The sequence below is a fragment of the Homo sapiens genome, chromosome 12 (assembly GCF_000001405.40).
Source record: "Homo sapiens chromosome 12, GRCh38.p14 Primary Assembly".
Lineage (NCBI taxonomy): Eukaryota > Metazoa > Chordata > Mammalia > Primates > Hominidae > Homo > Homo sapiens.
Window position 1 is genome coordinate 53,209,940 of NC_000012.12, and position 22,354 is coordinate 53,232,293.

The 22,354-nt window shown below is 56.0% G+C and overlaps 1 protein-coding gene across 5 annotated transcripts, besides 7 other annotated features; it reads right to left on the reverse strand.

Moving 5' to 3' along the window:
- Positions 630–22,270, reverse strand: RARG (retinoic acid receptor gamma). 5 transcript variants are annotated; one of them, NM_000966.6, is made up of 10 exons: positions 22,035–22,270; positions 21,230–21,296; positions 17,423–17,748; positions 5,707–5,855; positions 5,354–5,495; positions 4,507–4,667; positions 4,120–4,296; positions 3,557–3,761; positions 3,146–3,304; positions 630–1,924 (listed from the first exon to the last, which is right to left on the reverse strand). In NM_000966.6, exons 3-10 carry the CDS (start codon positions 17,604–17,606, stop codon positions 1,737–1,739), a joined length of 1,365 nt encoding a protein of 454 aa, NP_000957.1. In that variant the 5' UTR covers positions 17,607–17,748; positions 21,230–21,296; positions 22,035–22,270; the 3' UTR covers positions 630–1,736. The 5 variants fall into 5 exon arrangements, with proteins under 5 accessions (NP_000957.1, NP_001230659.1, NP_001230660.1 ...); NM_001243730.2 differs by lacking the exon at positions 17,423–17,748; NM_001243731.2 differs by lacking the exons at positions 5,707–5,855; positions 17,423–17,748.
- Positions 5,340–6,113: an enhancer, noted in NCBI's record as "H3K27ac-H3K4me1 hESC enhancer chr12:53609063-53609836 (GRCh37/hg19 assembly coordinates)". NCBI's record gives its function as "activates a minimal SCP1, AML or CMV promoter by ChIP-STARR-seq in naive H9 embryonic stem cells {active_cell/tissue: H9 hESC(naive)}" and the evidence as "EXISTENCE:reporter gene assay evidence [ECO:0000049][PMID:30033119]".
- Positions 6,328–6,941: an enhancer, noted in NCBI's record as "H3K4me1 hESC enhancer chr12:53610051-53610664 (GRCh37/hg19 assembly coordinates)". NCBI's record gives its function as "activates a minimal SCP1, AML or CMV promoter by ChIP-STARR-seq in primed H9 embryonic stem cells {active_cell/tissue: H9 hESC(primed)}" and the evidence as "EXISTENCE:reporter gene assay evidence [ECO:0000049][PMID:30033119]".
- Positions 9,706–10,000: a silencer, noted in NCBI's record as "tiled region #13987; K562 Repressive DNase unmatched - State 1:Tss". NCBI's record gives its function as "represses a minimal TATA promoter and a strong SV40 promoter by Sharpr-MPRA in K562 cells {active_cell/tissue: K562}" and the evidence as "EXISTENCE:reporter gene assay evidence [ECO:0000049][PMID:27701403]".
- Positions 10,125–10,464: a silencer, noted in NCBI's record as "silent region_4497". NCBI's record gives its function as "represses an Ori minimal core promoter by ATAC-STARR-seq in GM12878 lymphoblastoid cells {active_cell/tissue: GM12878}" and the evidence as "EXISTENCE:reporter gene assay evidence [ECO:0000049][PMID:35858748]".
- Positions 11,035–11,084: a silencer, noted in NCBI's record as "silent region_4498". NCBI's record gives its function as "represses an Ori minimal core promoter by ATAC-STARR-seq in GM12878 lymphoblastoid cells {active_cell/tissue: GM12878}" and the evidence as "EXISTENCE:reporter gene assay evidence [ECO:0000049][PMID:35858748]".
- Positions 11,645–11,994: a silencer, noted in NCBI's record as "silent region_4499". NCBI's record gives its function as "represses an Ori minimal core promoter by ATAC-STARR-seq in GM12878 lymphoblastoid cells {active_cell/tissue: GM12878}" and the evidence as "EXISTENCE:reporter gene assay evidence [ECO:0000049][PMID:35858748]".
- Positions 21,956–22,085: a silencer, noted in NCBI's record as "silent region_4500". NCBI's record gives its function as "represses an Ori minimal core promoter by ATAC-STARR-seq in GM12878 lymphoblastoid cells {active_cell/tissue: GM12878}" and the evidence as "EXISTENCE:reporter gene assay evidence [ECO:0000049][PMID:35858748]".

Sequence of the window (22,354 nt, forward strand, 5' to 3'; positions counted from 1 at the left end):
CCTTCCCCAGAGAAAAGCAGATATGCACATATGCATAACTGGAGGTGGAGACAGGCTTACAGACCTCTGAAGTCCATTCATGCCCTCCCAGAGATCCACAGGATCCAACATAAGAACCCACACCAAGCTAGACGCAGTGGCTCACGCCTGTAATCCCAGCACTTTGGGAGTCCAAGGCAGGCGGATCACCTGAGGTCAGGAGTTCGAGACCAGCCTGGCCAACATGGCGAAACCTGTCTCTACTAAAAATAAAAAAAATTAGCTGGGCGTGGTGGTGCACCCCTGTAATTGCAGCTACTCGGGAGGCTGAGGCAAGAGAATTGCTTGAACCTGGGAAGTGGAGGTTACAGTAAGCCGAGATCACACCACTGCACTCCAGCATGGGCGACAGAGTGAGATTCTGAACCCACACCTGGTGGTTGTGGGAAACCCGGTCACTCAGGGTGAGTCCCCATGGGCTCCCTTTCCCCCATCCTGTCCCCACCACAATCCAGGCACACTTCATCCTGTTTTCTTCTACCAAGAAAGCTGCAAAGTCCAATCAATTACAAGCTTTCCCTCCTCACTCAGCTCCCTCACCAGGTCAGCTGGTCATTTCCCTACCACCTCCTAAAGGGAGCCACATCTCATGAGTTTCCATCACTTTATTTTGCAAAAATAGAAAACTCAGCAATATGCGATACAGCGGGGTAGAGGGGAGATGTAAACAGAGGGGAGGGGACAGCACCCTGACCCCCCAAGAGAACACAGGGAGCCAATGGGAATCTTATTTGGCAGCTAAATACAAACTGGGGATTGGAGGAAGAAAGGAGGGGTCACAGGGGCCCTGGGCTCCCCCACCCAAGACCCCTGGAGGAAGGGGTCAATTCCACGGTGTAAACAAAAGCTAATAAATAAATAGAGGCTTCCTCTGGGTCAGGGCGGGATCAGCTAAGCAGCATCCCCCCTCCCTGGGCCAAGCTGCTCTGGGGAGTAAAGGGTGGAAGGCACTAGGGAGAGAGGGATCCCCTGGCCCCTCTGTAGTGTAGGAGGGTCCCTGCCCCAATGGCTGAGATGGAGGGCAGGAGGAGCCCAAGGCACATGACAGGGCTGGGGGAGGGACTTATAACGGAGGGCACAGGGTGAACTCTGCACCCGAGCCAAGAGGTGCAGAATGGACCTGCATCTATCTGTCCCTTTCACCCTCTGTTCCTGCCCCAGAAATGCAGGGCCCAGCCTGCCCCCACCTTGACCTGGCACAAGGACGGGGCACAGAGGCTAGCACACACCCTGCAGGTGCATCACACAGCATTAGGCACCAAGGGTAGGAGCAAGAAGGTGGGCTCAGCCCTTCTCCTTTGTCCCCTTTTTGGTCTCTAGTGTTCCTGTTTGCTCTCAGAGAGCCAAGCACCTGGCAGAGGAAGGGGCTGTGGAATGGCAGGGTCTTCCTCTTGCCCTGGGAAGTCTAGGACCCATGGGGCAGTGCTGAGATTTTAGAGTCCAAACCCAGGCTCATCCCTTTGCCCTCTCTCCTGGTGGGAGCAGGGCAGGCCCCCGGGACTGGCGAGGGAGCCGGTTAGATCAGGAAGGGGATGAACACAGAGGCACCCCTAGAAACTTTGGCAAAAACAAGGAGCTCATTGGAAGGGGTGGGGAGAGGGCAGAGCAGGTCCTCCCCCAGTCACTGGCGGTCTGGGAGATGGTCAGTCTGCTGCCTGAAGCCCCAACCCCCACAGCGGGGAGGTCAGGGGCCCTGGTCAGGCTGGGGACTTCAGGCCCCCTTTGCCCTGGCCCCCAGGAACCTCATCCTCGCTAGAGGCATTGGGGTGGGGACCAGGCTGCGAGGAGTCATCCTCAAACATTTCAGGGTTCTCCAGCATCTCTCGGATTAAGGGAGGCATCGGGCCTGGAATCTCCATCTTCAGAGTAATGGCCCTTTCAGCTCCTACAATGGAGAGAGAAAGAGAGAGGCTCAGGAGGACAGAGGCACATGGCCCTTAAGGCCATCTCCCTAACCTTTCTCAACTGCCCCTGACTCCCCTAGGGGGCGCCCAGCACAGGCCCACCACCTCTCCGTCCCCAGCTCATCCTCTTCTCACTAGGCTTCCTGGGTGCCACTCCTCTGCCTGGAACCTCTACCTGGCCTTCTCTACCAGGCTTGCTGCCCATTCATCCCATTCTTTCAGGCTGTCTCTTCAGCGAGCGCAATGCACACAACTTCCAACCCCACTCCCCAAGTACCCCACTCTCGAATGTCCAGAGCTTGTCACTTGTTCCTAGTCCTGTTCTCTTAATAACATTTATTACCACAGCTAATATTTATCAAACACTATGTTCCAGACATCCTTCTAAGCCTGGACTGTCCAATAGAACTTTGCAATGATAGGAATACAGTAGTCATTGGCCACATGTGGCAATCTGAAATGTGACTACTGCAACTGCAGAATGGAATTTTTAATTCAGCACAATTCTAAGTACACTGTATATGTTACAGGTTTTTTTTGTTGTGTTGTTGTTGTTGTTGTTGTTTTAGAGGCAGGGTCTTGCTGGGTTACCCAGGCTGGACTGCAGTGGCTATTCACAGGTACAATCATAGCTCACTGCAGCTTCCAACTTCTGGCCTCAACTGATCTTTCTGCCTCAGCCTCCTGAGTAGCTGGAACTACAGATGTGCACCATGGTGCCTGGCTTTACATTGTATATTAACTAATTTAGTCCTCAAGACAGCGTTACAAGGTACGTGAAGAATAGCCCAGTTTACAAACAAGATTAAAAAAGTAAAGCAATTTGCCCAAGACTTTGTCTCTAAATATATATATACACACACACACACACACACACACACACACACACACACACACATACTTGGAATTGTGCTGAATTAAAAATTCAATTCTGCAGTTGCAGTAGTCACATTTCAGATGCTTAATAGCCACATGTGGCTAATGACTATTGTATTCCCATCATTGCAGAAAGTTCTACTGGACAGTACTGGTTTAGAAGCAATTTGCCCAAAGTCTCCCACTACTATGTGGCAGAGCTAGGATTCCAGTGTAGATTGCCTGGTTCTCAACTACTCTGTTCTTGTCTCTGTGTGTCCTCCTGTCCGACCTGGGAGACCAACAGCCCTGGGAAGACAGAGAGGGGACACCCACTCATGACTCACCCTTAGTGCTGATGCCCCGGAGGTCGGTGATTTTCATTAGCATCCTTGGGAACATGTAGGGCTGGCTGGGCCGCCGGCGCCGGGCGTACAGCCTCAGGGCTTCCAGCAGTGGCTCCTGCAGCTTGTCCACTTTTTCGGGCTCCTCCAGGTCCATGCGGTCTATGGGGACAAGTATACTGGAGTGAGAGGGGAAGGAAGAGATGGGGAAGACACAGTGACAGATGGCTGATCACCAACCGGCGTTTTGGGAAGCCTGTACAGGGTTTCAGAACTCTCTGGATGGGGCCAGGTGCAAGAATTACCAGCAGAAGAGACCACTGGGTCCTCCACGCCCCCTCCCAGACAGATTCCGCATGGAGTGGTGGGAAAGGAGACTGAGCACTGAGCAGACGCCAGGGGGCGCCCCCGCACCTCCGCAGATGAGGCAGATGGCGCTGAGCAGCCCTGTCTCGGTGTCATCCATCTCCAGGGGCAGGAGCTGCCCAGCAAAGGCAAAGACAAGGTCTGTGAGGGGCCCGAAGCCGGCATTGTGCATCTGGGTCCGGTTCAGGGTCAGCCCGTCGGAGAAGGTCATGGTGTCCTGCTCTGGGGTGTACCTTGTGCAGATACGCAGCATCTGGAGGTGGGGGGTGGAGGAGGGTTAGTGCTGTTTCTGGGGGATGGGGAAAAGAGGGAATGAGTGGAAAGTGAGGAGGTTAGGTCCCCAGTGAGTGCAACCTGAAGCAGGCATGGAGAAGGCAGAGGTGGAGGATCTGAGGCTTGGCAGGGGTAGTCCCGGGAAGTCAGGAGGAGACAGGGCATCCAAAAGTCTAGGATCAGGTCATAGGGGCAGAGGCTAAGACGAAAAGAGAGCTGAGGAGTCCCACATGTGTGGCAGGGGGTGCAGGGTAAGGAAATCTTTGCATGGATCAAGGAATTGTTGAGGGTCCCATATGTGGGTCGGGCTGTGGCAGGACCCACAGGGCCTAACTTACCAGGATATCTAGGCAGGCAGCTTTGAGCAGAGTGATCTGGTCAGCAATGCTGAGCCCTGTAAAGCCAGGCAACCGCTTGGCAAACTCCACGATCTTGATGATGCACTTGGTAGCCAGCTCACTGAACTTGTCCCACAGCCCCAGATCCAGCTGCACGCGGTGGTCTGCACTGGAGTTCTGCAGAGGGGAGGGGTAGAAGGTTGGAAGGCAAGCTAAGGCCCACCTCTGGGGGCTGTCTTCTCTCTACCAATATCCCAAGCTCTCTCCTCTGCATTCTGATGCCCTCCTTGTCCTCAGCACCAGTCGATGATAGCCTCCAACACAACCCAGCCCCATTCCCCAAAGTGAAGAGTGCCCTGCCCTCACTGGGCTCTGCCCATTCCTCACCGTGGTATACTTGCCCAGCTGGCAGAGCGAGGGGAAAGTCTCCTGATGGGCTTTGCTGACCTTGGTGATGAGCTCTTCTAACTGAGGGCTCAGCTCATAGCTGTCAGGTGACCCTTCTTCCTTCACCTCTTTCTTCTTCTTGTTCCGGTCATTTCGCACAGCTTGTGGGTGGAGGCGCAAGGAGAGGGTCAGGACCCTCAGAGCCTCCCTTTGGGTGTCCTCTCTCACCCTAATTTAATATGCTCAGTCCTTATCATGAATATCTATTCTCTGGCACTGTAATTACTGCCTCAGTTTCCCTATCACCTATAATAGCTCCTATTCCCAGGCTGGTTCTCCCCAGCCCCACCCAGGGCCTGCAGCCCCTGCTCCTTCCCCAGGCCATTCGGCTCCATCCTGTCCTTCCTGTCACCCTGCAGGAGCTGGGGGAGGGGGGGCAGGATATGCAGGCGGCAGGATATCCACTTATAGCCTTGGCAGCACAATGGGGGCGAGGGGGGGGTGGAGAGGAGGAGCCACCCCATATCCATCTCTGGCTCAGTCCAGGGGAGGGAAAGGGACTGGCAAGCCCACTGGCTTCATTTCCCCCATGAAACAGGGGGAATGTGAGACCCTACTTATTCACCCATTCAGAGGAAGAGTCAAGCTCCCTGAGAGGGAGAATGGGAAATGGTGGGGCCTCCTGGTTGAATGGAGCTAATCAAATAAGACTGGCCTGGGAGAAGGCAGCACCCCAGGGCAGGCCAAGTCTCAGAGGTCAGGGAAGTGGGAGTGGCCAGAGGAAAGAGGGCCACAGCCATAGGGTAGGACCGAAGTGCTCCTGCCCAAGCCAAGGATGGCAGCCTACCTTCCTTGGACATGCCCACTTCGAAGCACTTCTGTAGCCGGCAGTACTGGCAGCGATTCCTGGTCACCTTGTTGATGATACAGTTTTTGTCGCGGTGACACGTGTACACCATGTTCTTCTGGATGCTTCGGCGAAAGAAGCCCTGGAGTTGAGGGAAAGAGAGAGGGCCTCTGAAGCACAATGCTGGGAGTACCAGCCTCTCACTGGCCTTGCAGGTTGCCCCAAGCCTGACCTAATCTATTAACCACCTATGTGCAAAGCAGTGCTGCTCAGACACAGCATCTGTGTGCCTGGTCTCTCATCTTACTAGGGTAACTGGATCCCCCGTCTGCCCACTCCCACCACGTACACACCTTGCAGCCTTCACAAGAGCTGACCCCATAGTGGTAGCCAGAGGACTTGTCATTGCACACGAAGCATGGCTTGTAGACCCGAGGAGGCGGAGGGGGCGAGGGCGAGCTGGGCACCATCTCCTCTGAGCTGGTGCTCTGTGTCTCCACCGCTGGGAGGGAAGCAGTGATGTGAGGGTCAGGGGAGAAGGACCCCACAGACCTCCAGGCTTCCTCATCACACACACCCCATGTGCATTTGTTCCTTGGCCCACTGGTGACAGCCATCACTACCACAGTGCACTAGTTCCAGCAGTAAGCACTGTCAGAATCCTCTTAATGACCACTATTACCACAGCTTGTTGTGACCCTAGTTCACCCTCTACCCTCCACAGTCTAACCAACTTGTTCACAAGAATGCCAGCCCTCATCCTATATGACATGTTTAATCCTCCAAATTCCAGACCAAGGCCATTCCGGAAATTGACTTCTCTGGGCCTGTTTCCCTAACTATCCAGGAGGTGGGTAGAAGAGTTAAAGCCCTGCAGCTCTGAGCTCTCTAGTCACTCTCTGTCTCTTTGGTATATCTTTGTCAGGTAGTCTACTTCCCACTGTCCTCCCTGTGGGGCAATAACTCTGGGGGCAGGTAGGCAATGACAGGCTTCCTGTAGCTGCTACTGGCCAAATGACCTGCTGGGATGCTTAGCAGGTAAACCAGGACCTCATTTCCTTTCCAGTAGTACAGGGGGGATAACTCCTCAGGCTTATCTCTCTCACACTACCCCTGAATAACCATCAGAGACAGTGGAGCAAATGGGGCAAAGGTCTCAGGGGAGTGAGTGAGAGGATGCACCACAGCCTTGGTTCACGCCTGAAGAAACTGAGGCCACGAGAGGGGAAGTGACCAGCTCAGTGCCACACCACCAGCAGATCCAAGTGGCTGTGAGTCAGAGAAGCTGGGGAAGCAGAGGCTGAGGTGTTTGCTCAGTTTCTCAGGTCTGGAAGCCGTTGGAGGTGTAGCAAACTGGAGAAGTCAGGTGACAGTAGGTAAACAGGACTGATGGGGGAGGGAACCTGTTTCTGGACCCTCTCTGAGCTTATGTCTTCACTCTGAAAATACCCAATTGCAGCTCAAAAGGGGTCTCAGCCCCACAGTATGGGGAGGACATGCTCTGCTCTGTTCAAAAGGCTGCTGGGTAAGTGTGTGTGTGTGTGTGTGTGCGCGCGCGCGCGCGCGCGCGTGTGGTTGGTCTTCAGAGGCTCGGAAAATTTGTAAATTATTCAACCTGTAGGACCTGTTGCCCAAACCTGGAGGGCCCAAGTTAATGCAAAAAAATTCCTAAGACCCTCCCTAAGGTGTGTCCCACGCACCCACCTCATGAACACCTTCTCCCTTCTAACCCTCTGCAGCCCACCTGGTCAGAAGCCCGCCCCAACGCAGCCAGAAGGGCGGAAGGAATGCCCAGGATGCCAGGGTTCCACGCTAGCTCCACCCACCCCACAGGAGGGAAGCCCTACCCACCCCCAACACACATACAATCAATTAGCATAAGAATCCTGCCAGAGTGAGATTACCCAAAGAAAAAGGAGAGAGGAGAGGGGGGAAAGAAGGGTGCCTGGAGTCTATTCAAGACTAGGGATGGGGGCTCCAGGAGGGGCTGGTGCTGAGAGATGTGAGGAGGGCTGGAACGCCTTTCCCAACCTCTCCTCACTCCTCAGACCCACCACTGTGTCCTCCAAGGGCACGTGTTCTGCCCAAGGCCTGTGCGTGGGGTGGTGCTCACTCTGGCACTGACGCCCTCCCTGCCCGCAGAGCGCTGCCTCATTTCCTCTCTTGCGCAAGGGCCTGGGTGCGGTCAGACTGGCATGGGGCAGTGCCAGCCAATTATAAGACTGGGGGCCTTAGGGAGACAGGCCCGGGGGCAACTTTTCCTGTCTAAGTGATACTGTCACATCCCCACCCCCTGAACCCTAAAGTGCAGCCTAGTGGCTCCGAGGTCAATCTGTGAGGTCAAGGCCCCAGAAAGCTAACTGGGTCTACTCCAATCAGATCCCCTCCCCAGACTCGGGCTTAGACCCCACCATTGGGATGCAGCTCCTGGGTTAGGCAGGGGCCCCTGCTGGGGAGGATGGGGGTGGGCTCTGGGGTTTTCTCCTTTTAAAGCCCAAATTGCTGAAATTGAGGAAATTCCTGACCAGGCTGCGCGGAGCTTCAAACAAACTCTTTATAACCGGCTGTAAACGCTCCCAGCTGCGAGGCTCAGAGCTGAGCAGCCTGGACTCACAATCTAGCACACACCTCCTTGGAGACACACACACTCACAGGTTAACAACACATAAGGCACCAAAGCAGGCATATTACAATGGGATCCTAGAACCCTCACTGGATTCTGGCACAGACACACAGCCAGAATAGAGACACACTCACTCCAGCTACACCGTGGAGGTAGATGTACCAGTCACAAGGCTGACACACAACAGCCAGCACTTGGCCACACAAGGGAACAGCCCTACCACCAGACAAACACCCCAGCCTGCCAACGCAGCACCAGGACACCAAAGCCTCCAAACAGGCACACACACACACACATCCAGCCCACCTCCACCCCCCAAGCACCCTTCCCTCTGAAAGTGTGTGCGGGCAGGCCTGAAGCTGGCTTTGTGTGTCCACCAGGATCCCAGAGGCCAAAATTATTGGTCCCAATTAAAACTCAAAAACCTAGGGCCAGTCAAGCCCAAAGGGCTTCTTCCATAGGCCTGAAAAAAGACAGGGTCTCTGCCCAGCCCCCAGAAGCCCTTCCTGAAAGATTCTTTCCATCTCAGCACCCCCACAACATATAACATACCCCAACTCCCCATCCTATTGGGCAATGAGAGGAAAGTTAAGAATTCACAGGGATTTGGTGCAAAGCAATAGTTCCATGCTTTCTCGGTTCTTTAAATGACACACTTTTAAATTCTTCCCCCACCCCACCCAAAAGTAAAGTCAAGTCCGGTCTCCTGGTTTGCCATCTCCCTCTTCCAGCTTCCCAGTTGTTAAATTTGAGCAGCTCTGCTCTGGAACCAAAAAAAAAAATCCGAACTTGTAAACAGCACTGCTTGGTGCCAAGGAGCGAGGCGCGTTGGCGGGGGCTTGGTGACCTGGCGTGCGCACTCCCCCAGCGCCCGCCGCCCCGCCCGCTGCCCGCCCCTTCCCACCCTTCCCAGCGTGCCCCCAAGCCCCTCATCCCCGGGCCGTCCGCACCCAGGCAGCGAGCACATCCCAGCCCAGGGTAAATTTGGGGGGTGTTCCAGGCTGCGCTCCTGGCCCCTCCCCACACCCCACCCCCGCCAGGCACTGCGGCCCAAGCTTCAAAGCCGCCTCTCATCTGGACTTCATTTTTACTGCCTCTCAGTCCCCAGCTTTTTATTACTGCTCTGGAAAGGGGTTCCAGGGCCCCAGGCCTGGCATCTCCCATTTCACGGAGGGGGAAGATAGATATTTGGGGACCCAGTAATGGTGCTCGCCCTGCCGCTGTCAACTTCAGGCCACCCCCCACCACACACACAGACTTTGCTTTAAACTTTTCGCTTCCTGCTGAAGTTGTTGTGTGTTGGAGCCATAGGAAAAAGTAATCTCTGCATATAACCGCATACACGTTTCCAAACATTTCTTTTTTTATATGGGGGTGGCGTACAAAACTCAGCCTTCTCCCTCTTGTGTGCACAACCTTTTCCACCCGGCATGAGAACACACAGGATGCACTCTCGAACACAGCACTTTCCAAAACCGCCCCCGCAGCCACGCAGGGGCACACGCCCTCCCGGCCTCACGCCACAAACATCCCCTCACAGGCCATGTGGACCTGGCAGCTGTCGCAGGCGACACTGGTGGAGAGACCCTTGCTCCCACACCCACACCACCTAGGCAAGGCGCTGCACACTCCAGGGATTCACACGCTCTGCAAACGATATTTTTAACACTGCCAGCTTCCCACATGGGCTTTACAAACGCCACCCACGGTCCTGAGTGTCATATCCTTCCAGGGCCACGGACGTGAAGGCGCAAACTACCCACACACCTCGGTCTCTCCCTATCCCCAGGAACTCTGGAGTGGCATCAACCACAGGTTCGAGCTAAACACCCACCATAAAAACCACACACACTCCAAACACTACTGCACACACGCAAAGGAGACGCTGAGGCCCCCACGTTTAAAGGGCCAGTACCTTACATAGAAAGGGCCAGAAGCTCCTCCTTGCACCTCAGTTCCACTCTTTACACACGGAAAGAGTAAATCCCACCCTCTCCTGCACCCTACACCCCAGCCCCGGACTCCGGTACCTACATTGCAGGCTGGCGGGTTGCGGCCAGGCAAAAGATTCAAGTCCGGCGAAACAGGAGCCGCCGGTGGCTCTGCGCAGCAAGCCGGCCCCGGGCCCGGCCGCCCCGTACAGCCGTCGCGGACCCGGGGCAAACGTTTCCATACAGTCGTACATCGCGACCCGGCTTGAAGGGAAACTGGGTGCTGGAAACACCAAGGACCCGCAGCCGATTCCCCCTCCTCCCCCGGCGGCGCCCCGCTCCAGCAGGGGGGGAGGGGGAGGGCTAGCATAGGGCGCTGGGCTGCATGCGGGTAAGGGGTGGGCGGGGAAGAGGGGGGATCCCCAGCAGGGGAAAGGGACTGGGCGGGGCGCGAAGCTGGGGCTGCCGCTTTAGCCTCCGTCCAGCTCTTATCTGGGTGCTTCGGCAGCTAGCACTGGGGAGACCTTTTTTAAAAGCGAAGCCTGGAGGGGTGGGGGGTGGGGCTTGGAGAGCGAAGGGGGCCGGGCACCGAGATGAGCAAAGCTGAGAGTGGAGCGCACACATACACATACGTACACTCGCTCCGCGGCGCGCGCGCTTGCTTAGACACACATCCGTGCATGCATTTATCTTATCAGGCACCAAGAATTTGCAAATATGCAAGAGTGAACATACATGTGAGCACGCATATAAAATCATAGGTGCACACACGTTTGTGCAAACACACCTTGCTCGGGAGAATGCTTGCAGGCATACTCTCCACAGCTCATAGGCTTTGCATGCATTTGCACTGAGGCGCGTGCCCAGGTCGGGGTTGGAAGAAGGAGAGGAGGAACCAAGCATAAGCATTTCCTTTCAGAGTTTTCCCTCTCCCCAAACTCTCCCTTTTTCACACTAGTCAATACAGGGGTGTTAAGGATGACTGGGGAGAGGGGAACGTGGAGGTCCCCGCGCGCAGCTGCTCTCCTGAGGCTCGGGACCTGCACTACCTCCACCCCTCTCATTCCCAGGCCTGGCTCCGCCCTCGCCCTCCGCGCGCCCGCTTCAGGGCCGAAAAGTGCATTCCTGCGGCTCGGCGCGCGCTGCCTCCTCCTTCCTTCCCGTCTCCCCACCCGCGGTCCTAGGGCCGGAGCGCGCTCCCGCCGTGAACTCTCTGGGAACCCCCCTCGGGGCGGGTGGCCGAGCGCGCTCACCTCCTCCTGACCCGGCCCCGCCCCACCCCGCCCAGGCCGTCTTCAGCGCTGCCGCGGAGTCCCCCCGCCCCCTCCAGCGCAGCCAGAGTCTACCCCTCCTAGCCCGAGCAGTCCGCCCTCCGCCGCGGCCCGGGCCGCCTCCCTCCGAGTCCCCGAAGCCTTATCCCGCAACTGACGCCCCCTAAGCGCCTCGACCGTCTCTCTCGATGCTCCTTCTTCGAACATAACTTCACTTTTAGAGCACAAAACTACCCCATAAGCTGTGCCTGCCGTGCCAACTGCGCCTCGATGAATCTGCCCCTGATGGCCAACTCCCCTCCTCCAGTTTCTCACTGCCAAGGGCTCCCTCGGCAATAGGGGCGCTTCTGGTCACTGACTGTTCTCAGGGTCTTTAAATACCCTCTAGCCTAGGCATAACTGCCCTCCCTTCGGTTAGTGCCCCTCAGCTCTCCAAGGCCGCAACACTGTTCCCTGGGTTGCCCCTTCCGGCACTGAGCGCCCTCGCCCGGCGGAGAAGGGGGTGAGGTGGGCGGGGGGCTGGCCACGTCAGAAGTTTGCCCTGGCCCGGCAGGGCCGAATGGGGGGACCCTGGCCCCGGACAGCGCCAGCAGCGGCGACTCCCGGAAATCCCCCCCTCCCCCGCGCCCCGCCCTCAGCCGCCGGGCCGCCCGGCCTGCCTGCCCAGCCGGCTCTGTCAGCGCCGCTCACACGGGCAGCGCCGCGGAGCGGGAGCGGCGCCCGGCCCGGCCCTTCCCCCGCCAGGCGGCTGTGGCTGGGCCAGGGCGGGGCGCGCTTTTCTAAGAATCTGTTGTACCGGGTGGGGGGCGCACTGGGGTGCTGCAGGAGTGGGGCGCCTGTTGGAAGAATAAAGGGCAGGAAGGGGTGCCAGAGTAGGCGAGGGATGGCGGGCGCGGGGGAGGGGCGGGGGGCTGCCGGGGCTGGGAAAAGGCCTGACTTGTGGATGGCGAGGAAACCTCGGGGTGGCAAGGCTGACTAGGGGGCTTGAAGCAGGGATGGAGAGGGAATGCACTGCTCTTTCCAACCCAGTGTAAACTCCCTTCTCCTCCCCCAACCCCAAATACCCATTTCTGAATCCAGTCACCCGAACCCCACAAAAAAAAGAAAGAAAGAGAGAGAAAGAAAAGAAAGAGAAAGAAAGAAGAAAGAAAAAGGAAGAAAGAGAAAGGAGGAGAAAGAAAGAGAGAGAGAGAGAGAGAAAGAAAGAACTTTCTGAATCAGAATCTGACCAGCAGCAAACAACAACAAAAACAGTTAAGTGCAAAATAGGGAGTACCCCGAAAACAAGAGGGAAAGAGCCTTGATTAGTCAACTTCAAGCTGTCAGTACCCCCCTTCCCCCTCAGAAATCTGAAAGGTCCCAATTAAGTCAGGCCTGCCTGGTTGGTAATTAGAACCAGAAGTGGCCAGGCCACAGGGAGGGGGGTTGGGAGGAGGGCACAGGAGGAGTTGGGGGAGGGCTCCAGGAAGCCATGAGTCCTCAATAGCCCCCGTTTCTCTTCACCAGATGCACCCCACTCATCACCCCATCTGTGTGTGCATCCCAGGCATTGCATGGAGGGGGTCCTTAGGACCAGGCATTACGGTGTCAGGCCCGCCCTCCCCATCAACCCTGACCCCCCCATTCTAGACAGACTTAGTACAGCCTTGGGGAGAAGGTAAGAGGGTGGGGGATCTAGTGCCCCCTCTTTTCCCCAAAGTTTCCCCAGCCCTTATTGCAGCAATTAGACCCATTAGCCTTCTAGCATTTCATGGGAACCAGATGTTCTCCACCATCCTGGTGGGAGTATGAAGGGGGGCTGCTGCCTGACTCACCCCCTTCCCTATGATCCCCACCACCAGGGCATACCCCCCTCCCAGCTAGAGCCCCACAAAGGCATAGCCCTAGAGGCAAAGAGGAGAGTACCCCTTCCCAACTAACAAAGCCATTAGCACTCAGATTCTTTCGGGGTCACCCCTTAGAGTCCCTGCCACCCTGGCAAGGATGAGTTTGGCCAGGACGAGGCAGGGCAGGGACAGCTAACTCCTCATGCACCCTGCCTTTCCCTCCTTGCCACCTTCTGGATGGGGCTTGAGGATAACTGGCTCTGAATTCCTCACGCTAAATTCTCCCTTTTTTCTAAAACCTTCCCTCGAAAAGCTGAAAAGGGGGCATTTCAAAGTAAAGCAGGCCCTGCCAGAAGGGTAAGTCCTGAGGTAGGAGTCCCACCTGAAGGGCAATGGGAGGGGGGTCTCTGGAGGAGGGGGCAGCAGAAGAGCAGAAGAATAGCGAGGTGTGAATGAGAGTGGGGCCCAAAGCAGGGATGTGAGGCGCGTTGGGCAGGATGGGGGCTGGGACCGGGTAGGGGGCCAGGAGAGGGGGGTGCAGCCTGGGCCCTGGCGGCGGCGGCTTGCCCGGCTCCCCCCGCCCCCCCCCCGCCCAAGAGGTTTCCTGTTGCAATCAAAGCCCCGTTTGTGTCGGCCTGGAGCTGGAGCCTGTGCCGGAGGAGGAGAGACCGGGGAGGGGAGGGGAAAAGAGGCAGTCGACTGGGGTTTTTTCCTGGAGGAGGCCTCACTGCCCTTACCCGCCTGCTTGTTCTCCTTGCTTCTCCCAGTGCCTGGCTTCTCTGTGTCTGCACCTTTGGGCCTGGGTAGCTGTCCCTTGTCTTGTCTGTGAGTCTCTCTTTTTCAGTTTCTTTTAAGCAAGACTTTCTCTGTGCCAACCTGTCCTCAGTTTCTCCATGTGTGGTGACTTAGTGTGGTGAAATCTGGGCTCCTTGCCCCAGGGACAGTGGCCCCATGGCCAGGGCAGCATCACCAGGTTCAGAGGACAAATTGGGCTAGGTCATCAGGACCACAGCTATCTGCTCAGGGGTGGGAGGACGGCAAGGCTTCCCTTCTCTTTCATCACACTCTGTTCCCTATAGAAAGCAAATCTAGAACACACTAAGATTCACAAACATAGAGATACATAGGGACACAGACACCTGAGGTTTCATGCACATGCATGAACACACACGCACGCACACACACGTACACACACCCCTCTGCTTTCCATGAGCACAGGCCTGTGCTTGCCTCAGCAGCACGTGCTCCCTGAGCCTCCCCTCCACCACCAGACAGTTCTGAGATGCCTGTCTCACCCCCCTTCAGACCCCGAGACAGCCCCAGGAAGTAGAGCAAGACTTCACTTCTCAACAAGGATGTCCCCAAGGTGCCAGGGACCCAGCAATAAGATCCAAGAGCCAGCCCCAGGGAGAAGTGCCAGACCTCTTCAAGGGCCACCTCTCTTAGTCTATGTGTGAGAGAGAATGTGTGTGTGTCATCCATAGAATAAGGGAGAGGGTGATGAGATGCACAAACTCAATGTGAGTATGCCTTTGGCATCAGATTTAAGCCTCTAAACCCTCTCCACTAGATGCTCCCAGCCAAAAAGGGACAGCAGGTCGGAGAAATGAGAGAGGACACTCTCTCATCCTTCTGCTACTCTCCCACTCTGGAAGGTTTCCCAGACTCCTGGATCTCTTCGTCTCCCCTATGTCTTCCTCTCTGCTACCACTAGGTGCTGCATGCCCCACCCCCATTAAAGCCGCATAGCAACCCACCCCCAAGCCTTCCCCTCCTCCCTCCTCCTGCCACTTCCCTGCCCAGGCCTGTCCTTCCAGGCTAGCCGCACCCTCCCCAGCTACCTGCCCTGGCTCTGGCTCCTCCCTTGGATTTCTCCTTTCAGCCCCCTCCTTCAGCATGGCCTTCGAAGATGGAGCCCGGCCTGACCACTTCCCTACCTTAATCTCACTTTGAACCCTGACCTTGATCTCAGTGTGTCCATGGCACAGGGGCGCAAGGGGGACGTCACTGGGGACTGGGTACTAGCTCTAGCATTATCCCCACTACCATTCTCTCTCCTCTCCCTCTCCACTCCATCTCCTTTACTTGCCTCTCCCAGAACCTGAGAAAATCAAGTCCCAAGAGGCTGAGTTGTAGGGTTCTCTGCCAGAAGTACATTCATGTGGGGAGGGTGGTTCCTTCCCACTTCCCCAGGTCCCTAGGACAGATTCATGGGGTGAAAATGAAGTCTGGGGAAGCCCAGCTGTAGTTTCCAAAAAGGGTACTTTGTGCTGTCTTGTTCACCTACATGCCACTCAAATAACCCCTGTTGGACTACAGACATGCCACCAGCAGGCTTCACCAAACGCCAGCCACAGCGTCAGCAGCACTACAAAATCCCTCCTCACTCCTCACACTGACTCTTTGTTGCACACACTGGAATTCTGTACATGAGCAGAGGCCCAGGGAGATGCTGGGCACACACAACTGCATCAAGTCTGGAGGCACCACACACTCACCCCTTCTCCGATGAACACACTCTTTCCAGTGGAGCTGCCAGCCCAGCCTAGTCACCCCTTTCACATACAGACACACAACCCTCTGCGTGCCCCCTCCTGGAAGCAGGGCGCCTTCTCTTCTACCTCTGTCTCTGCGCTCGTGGAGCCATGAAGGATGTGCGTTTATCTTTTTGTCTTTTTCTCTCCAACTCTGTCTCTGAAATTGCTCTTTCCCCCGCCCTTCAATCACCTTCTCTTGGCCCCAGTTGAAGCCTTCTCTTAACCAGCTTGGAACCCCCACCTGTAATGGCCTGGCCAGGAGGAATGACTACCAACTGGGAGGAGAGGGGTCCCAGAGGGAGGAGGAGAGGAGAGGCCCAAGCCTTGGCTGCTGTCAGCACTCAAAGGCTTAACCCAAAGAGGGCAGGCCTGGGGAACAAGTAGGGATCTGCACAGCATGCAGGCTCTATGCCAGACCTGCAGGGAGAGGAGGAGCCCAGATCCACATCGCTGGAGGAGAGGATGCTTCTGGAACACCCCCTCTGCCTCTCTGGATTACTTATGGTACAAAAGCTACCTCCTTTGCAGTCATTTCCATCCTCCCCAGAACCAAGAAGCACAGTCTCCTGACCCCACACATCTTTGGGGACCTGGCACAGGATTTCTTTCCCCTTTTTGCAGCCTCCATGTAATTCAAAGCAATTTCACCTTTTTTTCTCTCTCTCTCAGACAGAATCTTGCTCTGTCGCCCAGGCTAGAGTGCAGTGGCGCGATCTTGGCTCACTGCAACCTTCGCTTCTGGGTTCAAGTGCTTCTCCTCCCTCAGCCTCCTGAGTAGCTGGGATTACATGCATGCGCCACCACGCCCACTAATTTTTGTATTTTTAGTAATGATGGGGTTTCTTTTTTTATTTTTTATCTTTTTGAGATGGAGTCTTGCTCTGTCACCCAGGCTGGAGTGCAGTGGCACGATCTCAGCTCACCGCAACCTCTGCCTCCCAGGTTCAAGCGATTCTCCTGCCTCAGCCTCCCAAGTAGCTGGGATTACAGGCACACGCCACCATACCCGGCTAATTTTTGTAATTTTAAAGACGGGGTTTCACTATGTTGGTCAGGCTGGTCTCGAACTCCTGACCTCAGGTGATCTGCCCTCCTTGGCCTCCCAAAGTGCTGGGATTACAGGCGTGAGCCTTTTTCTTTTTTTTTTTTTAGACAGATTCTCACTCTATCGCCCAGACTGGGGTGCAGTGGCAAGATCTTGGCTCACTGCAACCTCTGCTTCCTGTGTTCAAGCAATTCTCGTGCCTCAGCCTCCCAAGTAGCTGGGACTACAAGTGTGCGCCACTACGCCCAGCTAATTTTTGCATTTTTAACAGAGGGGGAGTTTCACCATGTTGGCCAGGCTGGTCTCGAACTCCTGGCCTCAAGTGACCCACCCACCTCGGCCTCCCAAAGTGCTGGGATTACAGGCGTTAGCCACTGCACCCAACCCAATTTCACCTCTTGATCACAGAGCCAGGTGACTGGCCTCCCAGACTCCTCTGCTTCCCAGTTTGGCTCCCTCCAACTCCCCACTGCAAGCAAGCAGCAGATTCACGCTGCACCAGACCCACCCCCAGCTGCCCACACAAAGGTATTCCCCTCTACTAGTTGACTGACCCAGGAGGCAGTTTTAGATACCCACCCCCCAAGTTTTAGGCCTGCTACCTCCCTATCCTATTTGACAGGAGAACTCTCATTTGCAAACACTTCCATTGAGTCCACATCCAAACTCCTTCCTCACCACCACTACCACCCTCCATTATTCACTACTACTCCATTAGGCCAAACCCCTGTCCCCTGCCTGCCTTCCTAACTGGGGTGCCAACTCTTTTACCATCCACCCTCCTGATGCCTTCTTGTTAACATTTGCCTTCATTCCCCAAGATCCCTGAGACTCACACAGAGAGGCCATCTCCTTGGGGAGGTCAGGCTGGCCCAGGCCCCGGAAGCTAGGGCTCAGCATCTCGAAAGGCGGAGACCCCCTGAGTGCCCCTGGGAAGGCGAAGGGGAAACCTGCCCCTGGGTAGCCAGATCCAGGCCCCAGGGCACCAGCCGCAAAGAGTCGCTCCTTATTGGTGGCCATGGCAGCTGCGGTGTGAGAGTCCCCTGGGGTCTGCAGTGGGCGGGCGAGGTCTTCAGCCACAGCCCCTGCCCATGCCCACTGCCCCAGCCTGGGAGGCTCCGTACCCGCCCTGCCTGGCCTGCCCACTGGGCCTCCAAAAGTCCTAGGGAGAAAGAGAGAGAAAGGAGAGATGAGAGAATGACCACTCTGAGGTTCCAAGCCCTGTGACCCTCTCTCAGTTGCAGTCTTCTCCCTCTGTGCTGCTACAGTTTATCCTGCCCTGGCTCAGGGCCCTTGCAGTGTGGTAGAGAGGGCACGGCAGGGGGTTATGCAGGCTCTGAGAAACTCTCCAGAGGAGCTCCAGGAAAGGTTAAACTGAGGTCCCAAGGTGAATGATGGTCTAAGGACTTCTGGTGGAGAGAACTCCTAGATTGGGAAGTGATCATGAATCACCACAACTGGGCTAAGCATTTGACCTAAACCTCACATCAGTCCTGTGAACTGGGAGTTATGATTCTCATTTCACATATGAGGAAACTGAGGTGAAGTGACTGGCTTAAGGTCACATGGCTGCAAGTGGGGGAGCCCAGATTCAAACTCTTTACCATCCTGGAGAAGGCAAACATAACTCTGTTATAACCTGGGAGCCCTACAGCTCTCTGGAGAGGAGTACAAGGCAAAGGTTAGGGGGACAGACTCTAGAGCCAGACTACCTGGACTGTACCCCACCACTTGCTAGCTGTGGGACTTCAGGCATGTCACTTAATCTCTCTGTGCCTCAGTTTCTTCATGCGTCACTTGGGACTAATAATAGGGCCTACCTCATATGGTTATTGTGAGGACTAAATAAATTAACCAATGTCAAGTGTCTGGCATAATGTAGGGCACATAGGAAATGTGATGTAAATGTCTCATATTAGTTCTCTTTGTACCTTATTTTCCTCCATACTCTGCTTCAGTAAGCACTTCCCTCTCTGTTTTCCTCAACACTCCCTCTTCCAGTTTCCTCTCCCAATTCTTCCTGTCTCCAATTTTTCCTCACCCTGTAAGCCCTCTTGTACCCACTGCTTCAAATCTAAGGATGTTGATGGAGCCCCCACTTGTGCCAAGTGTATGATGCCAAGGAGCTGCTTCTTGGTCAGCTGACTTTACTTCTCTGCCTCCTTTTTTCTCTCTCTCTCTCTCTTTTTTTGTTTTGTTTTGTTGAGACAGCTAATGTTTATATTTTTAGTAGAGATGGGGTTTCTCCAGGTTGGTCAGGCTGGTCTCGAACTCCCAACCTCAGATGATCCGCCCACCTTGGCCTCTCAAAGTGCTGGGATTACAGGCGTGAGCGACACGCCCGGGCATTCTGCCTCCTTTTCTTTCTTATCCCTGGGCTCCCTGTTTCTAGGAAGTTCTCCCTGCAACCTCTCCTCCCCCAAAAGTAGGCTTCCCTCTAAGAGTTTAAACCTGAGCCCAGGGGAAGGGGAGGAGAAGGAGGTAGAGAGAGGAGATGGGAATCCTAGTGCTAAGTAGGTGGTTCCTATCTTCATCCCCTGACAAAGGAAAAGTTTGGCTTTCCTAGGAGCCCCAGAACTTCTCACCTCTCTAGGCAGTTAGTGGGCTAGGGAGGAAAAGTCACCCCAGCCTGGGTATCTCCACCAGTCAGAGCCATAACAGACTGCTATGAAGGGCAGAGAAGGGCCAAGAGACTAAAATGCAGAGAGACCATGGGGTGGGCAGGCCCAGAGGTAGGGGATGGGTATATCTGCCTTTCTTTCCATCAGTATTTGCTTCTAGGATGTATAGCTCTCAGTCTTTATACCTCTGGTTTTTATTTTTGTTTTTGCTTGTTTTTCTTTCTCTCCTCTACCTTGGCCTTCAAGCCCTTGAGGGTAAACTGTCATGGAGGTTACAAGAACCCAGACCCCAACGCCATCACATTTCACTCAGCCCTTATGAATGAAGCATCCCCTGCCCCTCACCATGGCACCACCCATACACCCAGCACCCTCAAACTCTTTAGCCCAGTGTCTTCGCAGGCCCTAAAAGTCTGAGCTCCAAGCCTCCAGGGTCCCTCTCCTTTTCCTTCTCCTATTCCCCTCCGAAGTTCTCATCCCTAGTTAAGCCCTGATGGAGCCAGGAGTTTGGGGGCCCCTGAGGCCCCTGGGCCACAGCTCAACTGGCCAGGCCACATTCCAGGTGGATTAACCCCTCCAATGACAAGGGTGAGAAGCTACTAGAGGACTCCCCCATCCCCATGTTCCCCAGACTTGGCTTAGACTGGGAACAGGGCTCTCTGCCTTAGCCCTCCTTGTCTTTGCTTCTCACCTACCAATGGGAAACACAGGCAGGTAGGGCAGTGGGGGTCCCCACAGAGGGATGCTCAGCTCCTGATCCTCACCAAGGAATGATGCTGCATGTGAGCCAATGAGAGTTGTCCTTGGCCTTCCTCTTATTTTGCCTCAGAGAAGGGACTTGGGAGTTGAGTGAAGAGAGGAAGGGGGTAGAGATTCCTCCCATTTCTGAGCCTTGGTTCTGTCGTGGCTGGGAAGAGAAGGGGAGGGTCTTAAACCCAGGGTAGGAGAATGGACTAAGGAATTGAAGGCAGTGCAGAGTAAAAGGAAGTCCTAAACTGAGGCCCCAGGTGCCTTGGTTCTTTGGGGGACTCATGGAAAGTAGAGAACATTCTTCCTCTACTAAGATGCCATCTCAAATGGTGGGGCAGCGGGGATGACAGACTAGGGGAGAGGGGCTCTTACAAAGCTGCTTCTCTTAGAGCTGAGGTGGAGTTGAGGGGAGGGCATGGATGAAGGGGGCTGCCGGATGGAGGGGGGTGTGTTTCCCTGTCGCCCTGCCCGCTCCAGAGCCTGGAACAAAGCTGCTCTTGTCGGCCACTCTCCACCCGCTGCCCCCCTCCCCTCTGTATAAACACGACCACCTTTTTCCATGACCCCATCTCCAGCCTGGGCAGAGAACCCAGGCATCCTCTGCTCTAGCCTGGGCCCCCAGCCTGCTCCCCAGGAGGCAGCAGTGGGCCAGGCTTCCTTGGCATTGTGCCATCCCTGGGGGAGTCCAGACCCTTGAGTCTCCACCTCTCATCCCCAGGTGCCCTCCCTCCACCCTACTAGCCCCAGGGAGGGGCAGTGCCCAGGAGGCAGGCAGGCAATGCCAGTGGAATGTGTGTGGGCATCAGAGGGCATGGACAGGGTGGGGCAGAGGGGGGAACTGGAGGTGCCAGTTAGGTGGCTTTCTGAGCCAGGGGTGGGGGTGTGCCGGGGTGTGGGGGGGCGTGCCCCATGCTGCCTACTAGGCTGTAGGCCACAGTGCGTGTGTGTGTGTGTGTGTGTGTGTGTGTGTGTGTGTGTGTGTGTGTATGTCTGTCTATATGGGATACCCAAGCTCCAGGCTCCCTGCACACACTACCCCCACTCCCCTGTCTTCTCTCTACTTGCCTCAAGGATATGAGATGCTGGCTATGGTCCTTGACCCCAACTCAGCATCTGACCCTAAGGGCAGAAGCCTCAGACTTGAGGATTGGGATTCCAGCTGCCCAGGACCAGAGCCCTAAAGCGGGACAGTCATCTCAGTTTCTTGCCCTGAAGACCTCCTACTCAGGCTCCCCTGCCCCCACCACCACTAACAACCAAGCATCTTCTTACCCGCTGGCCGCCTGCAGAGACTGGCTTCTACATACTGGGTCAGGTTGAGGGAACTGGGCCGTAGCTGCTAAAGACAGAGAGGCAGCGTCAGTGGAACTCTGGGACCAGCACTCCTGGGTCCCTGTCCCGGTCTTCCTGCTCTTTCTTTGTTCCATTTGGGCTTCCCTCAAGAATACTCCAGAGGTGCCCCCCACCTTGGCTGGAGGGAGCCAAGGCTCGCACCTGGGCTGGGAACGTGTGGGAGGGAATCCAGCGCTTCAAGGAAAGTTCACAGATCCCTATCCTATGCACCAGTCCTTCGGAACTCCTGGACGCGGAGGGCCAGGCTCACTTGCCTCTGGACGTTTTCCTTGCCTTCTGATGTCCAAGCTGTCCCATTCCACTGGGGAGGGAGGAACTTGGACCAGCATGGAACATCAAATCTACCCCTCAGAGCCCGGGGGTAAGGGGGTGGTAGTCTTTCCCCGCGAGAGGAAACCCTGTCTTCTCTCACATTCCCAGCACAAAAATATAAGGAGGAATGCCCCCTGGCTGAAGACTTCCCCAAATGCTGTCCTCTGCTATGCACCAAAATGAAGGGCAGATGACCCAGCCCATCCTCAGCCTGTTAAAATCTTCCCCATTCCCTTCCCACAGCAGGACTGGCCTGGGTCGGGGCAAGAAGCCCCCCTCAAGCCCGGCGGCCAGCCTGGCCAGCCTCGGGAGGGCATTCGCCCGTGCAGCTCCTCCGCGCCCCCTCCCCCAGCCGCCTCGCCGGAGGACCCAGGCGACGGGGCGGGCGAGCCTGCTTCCCCGCCTGACTCACCTGGAGTGGGAGGGGGAAGGGAGGCGGCGGAGCCCCGAGGTCCCGGCGTCGGGCAGTCTCTTGGATGGAGCGTCGCAATGTCCGGGGCTCGCCGTACTGGGGGGCTCCTGGGGGGGCACGGCTCTAGGCTGGGACTGTCCCGGGGCCTCTCGGAGCCCGCCCGCCCACGTGACCGCCCCAAAATATCCGACACATTTTCTCCCAAACCGCACACTGACTCTGCAGGCGGGGACACGGAAAATATTTTCTTTCTTTTTCTCCCTCCCCACCCCCCCCCCAACCTCCCTCCCTGCCCAACTCCCTCCTCCCCCTCCCGCCCT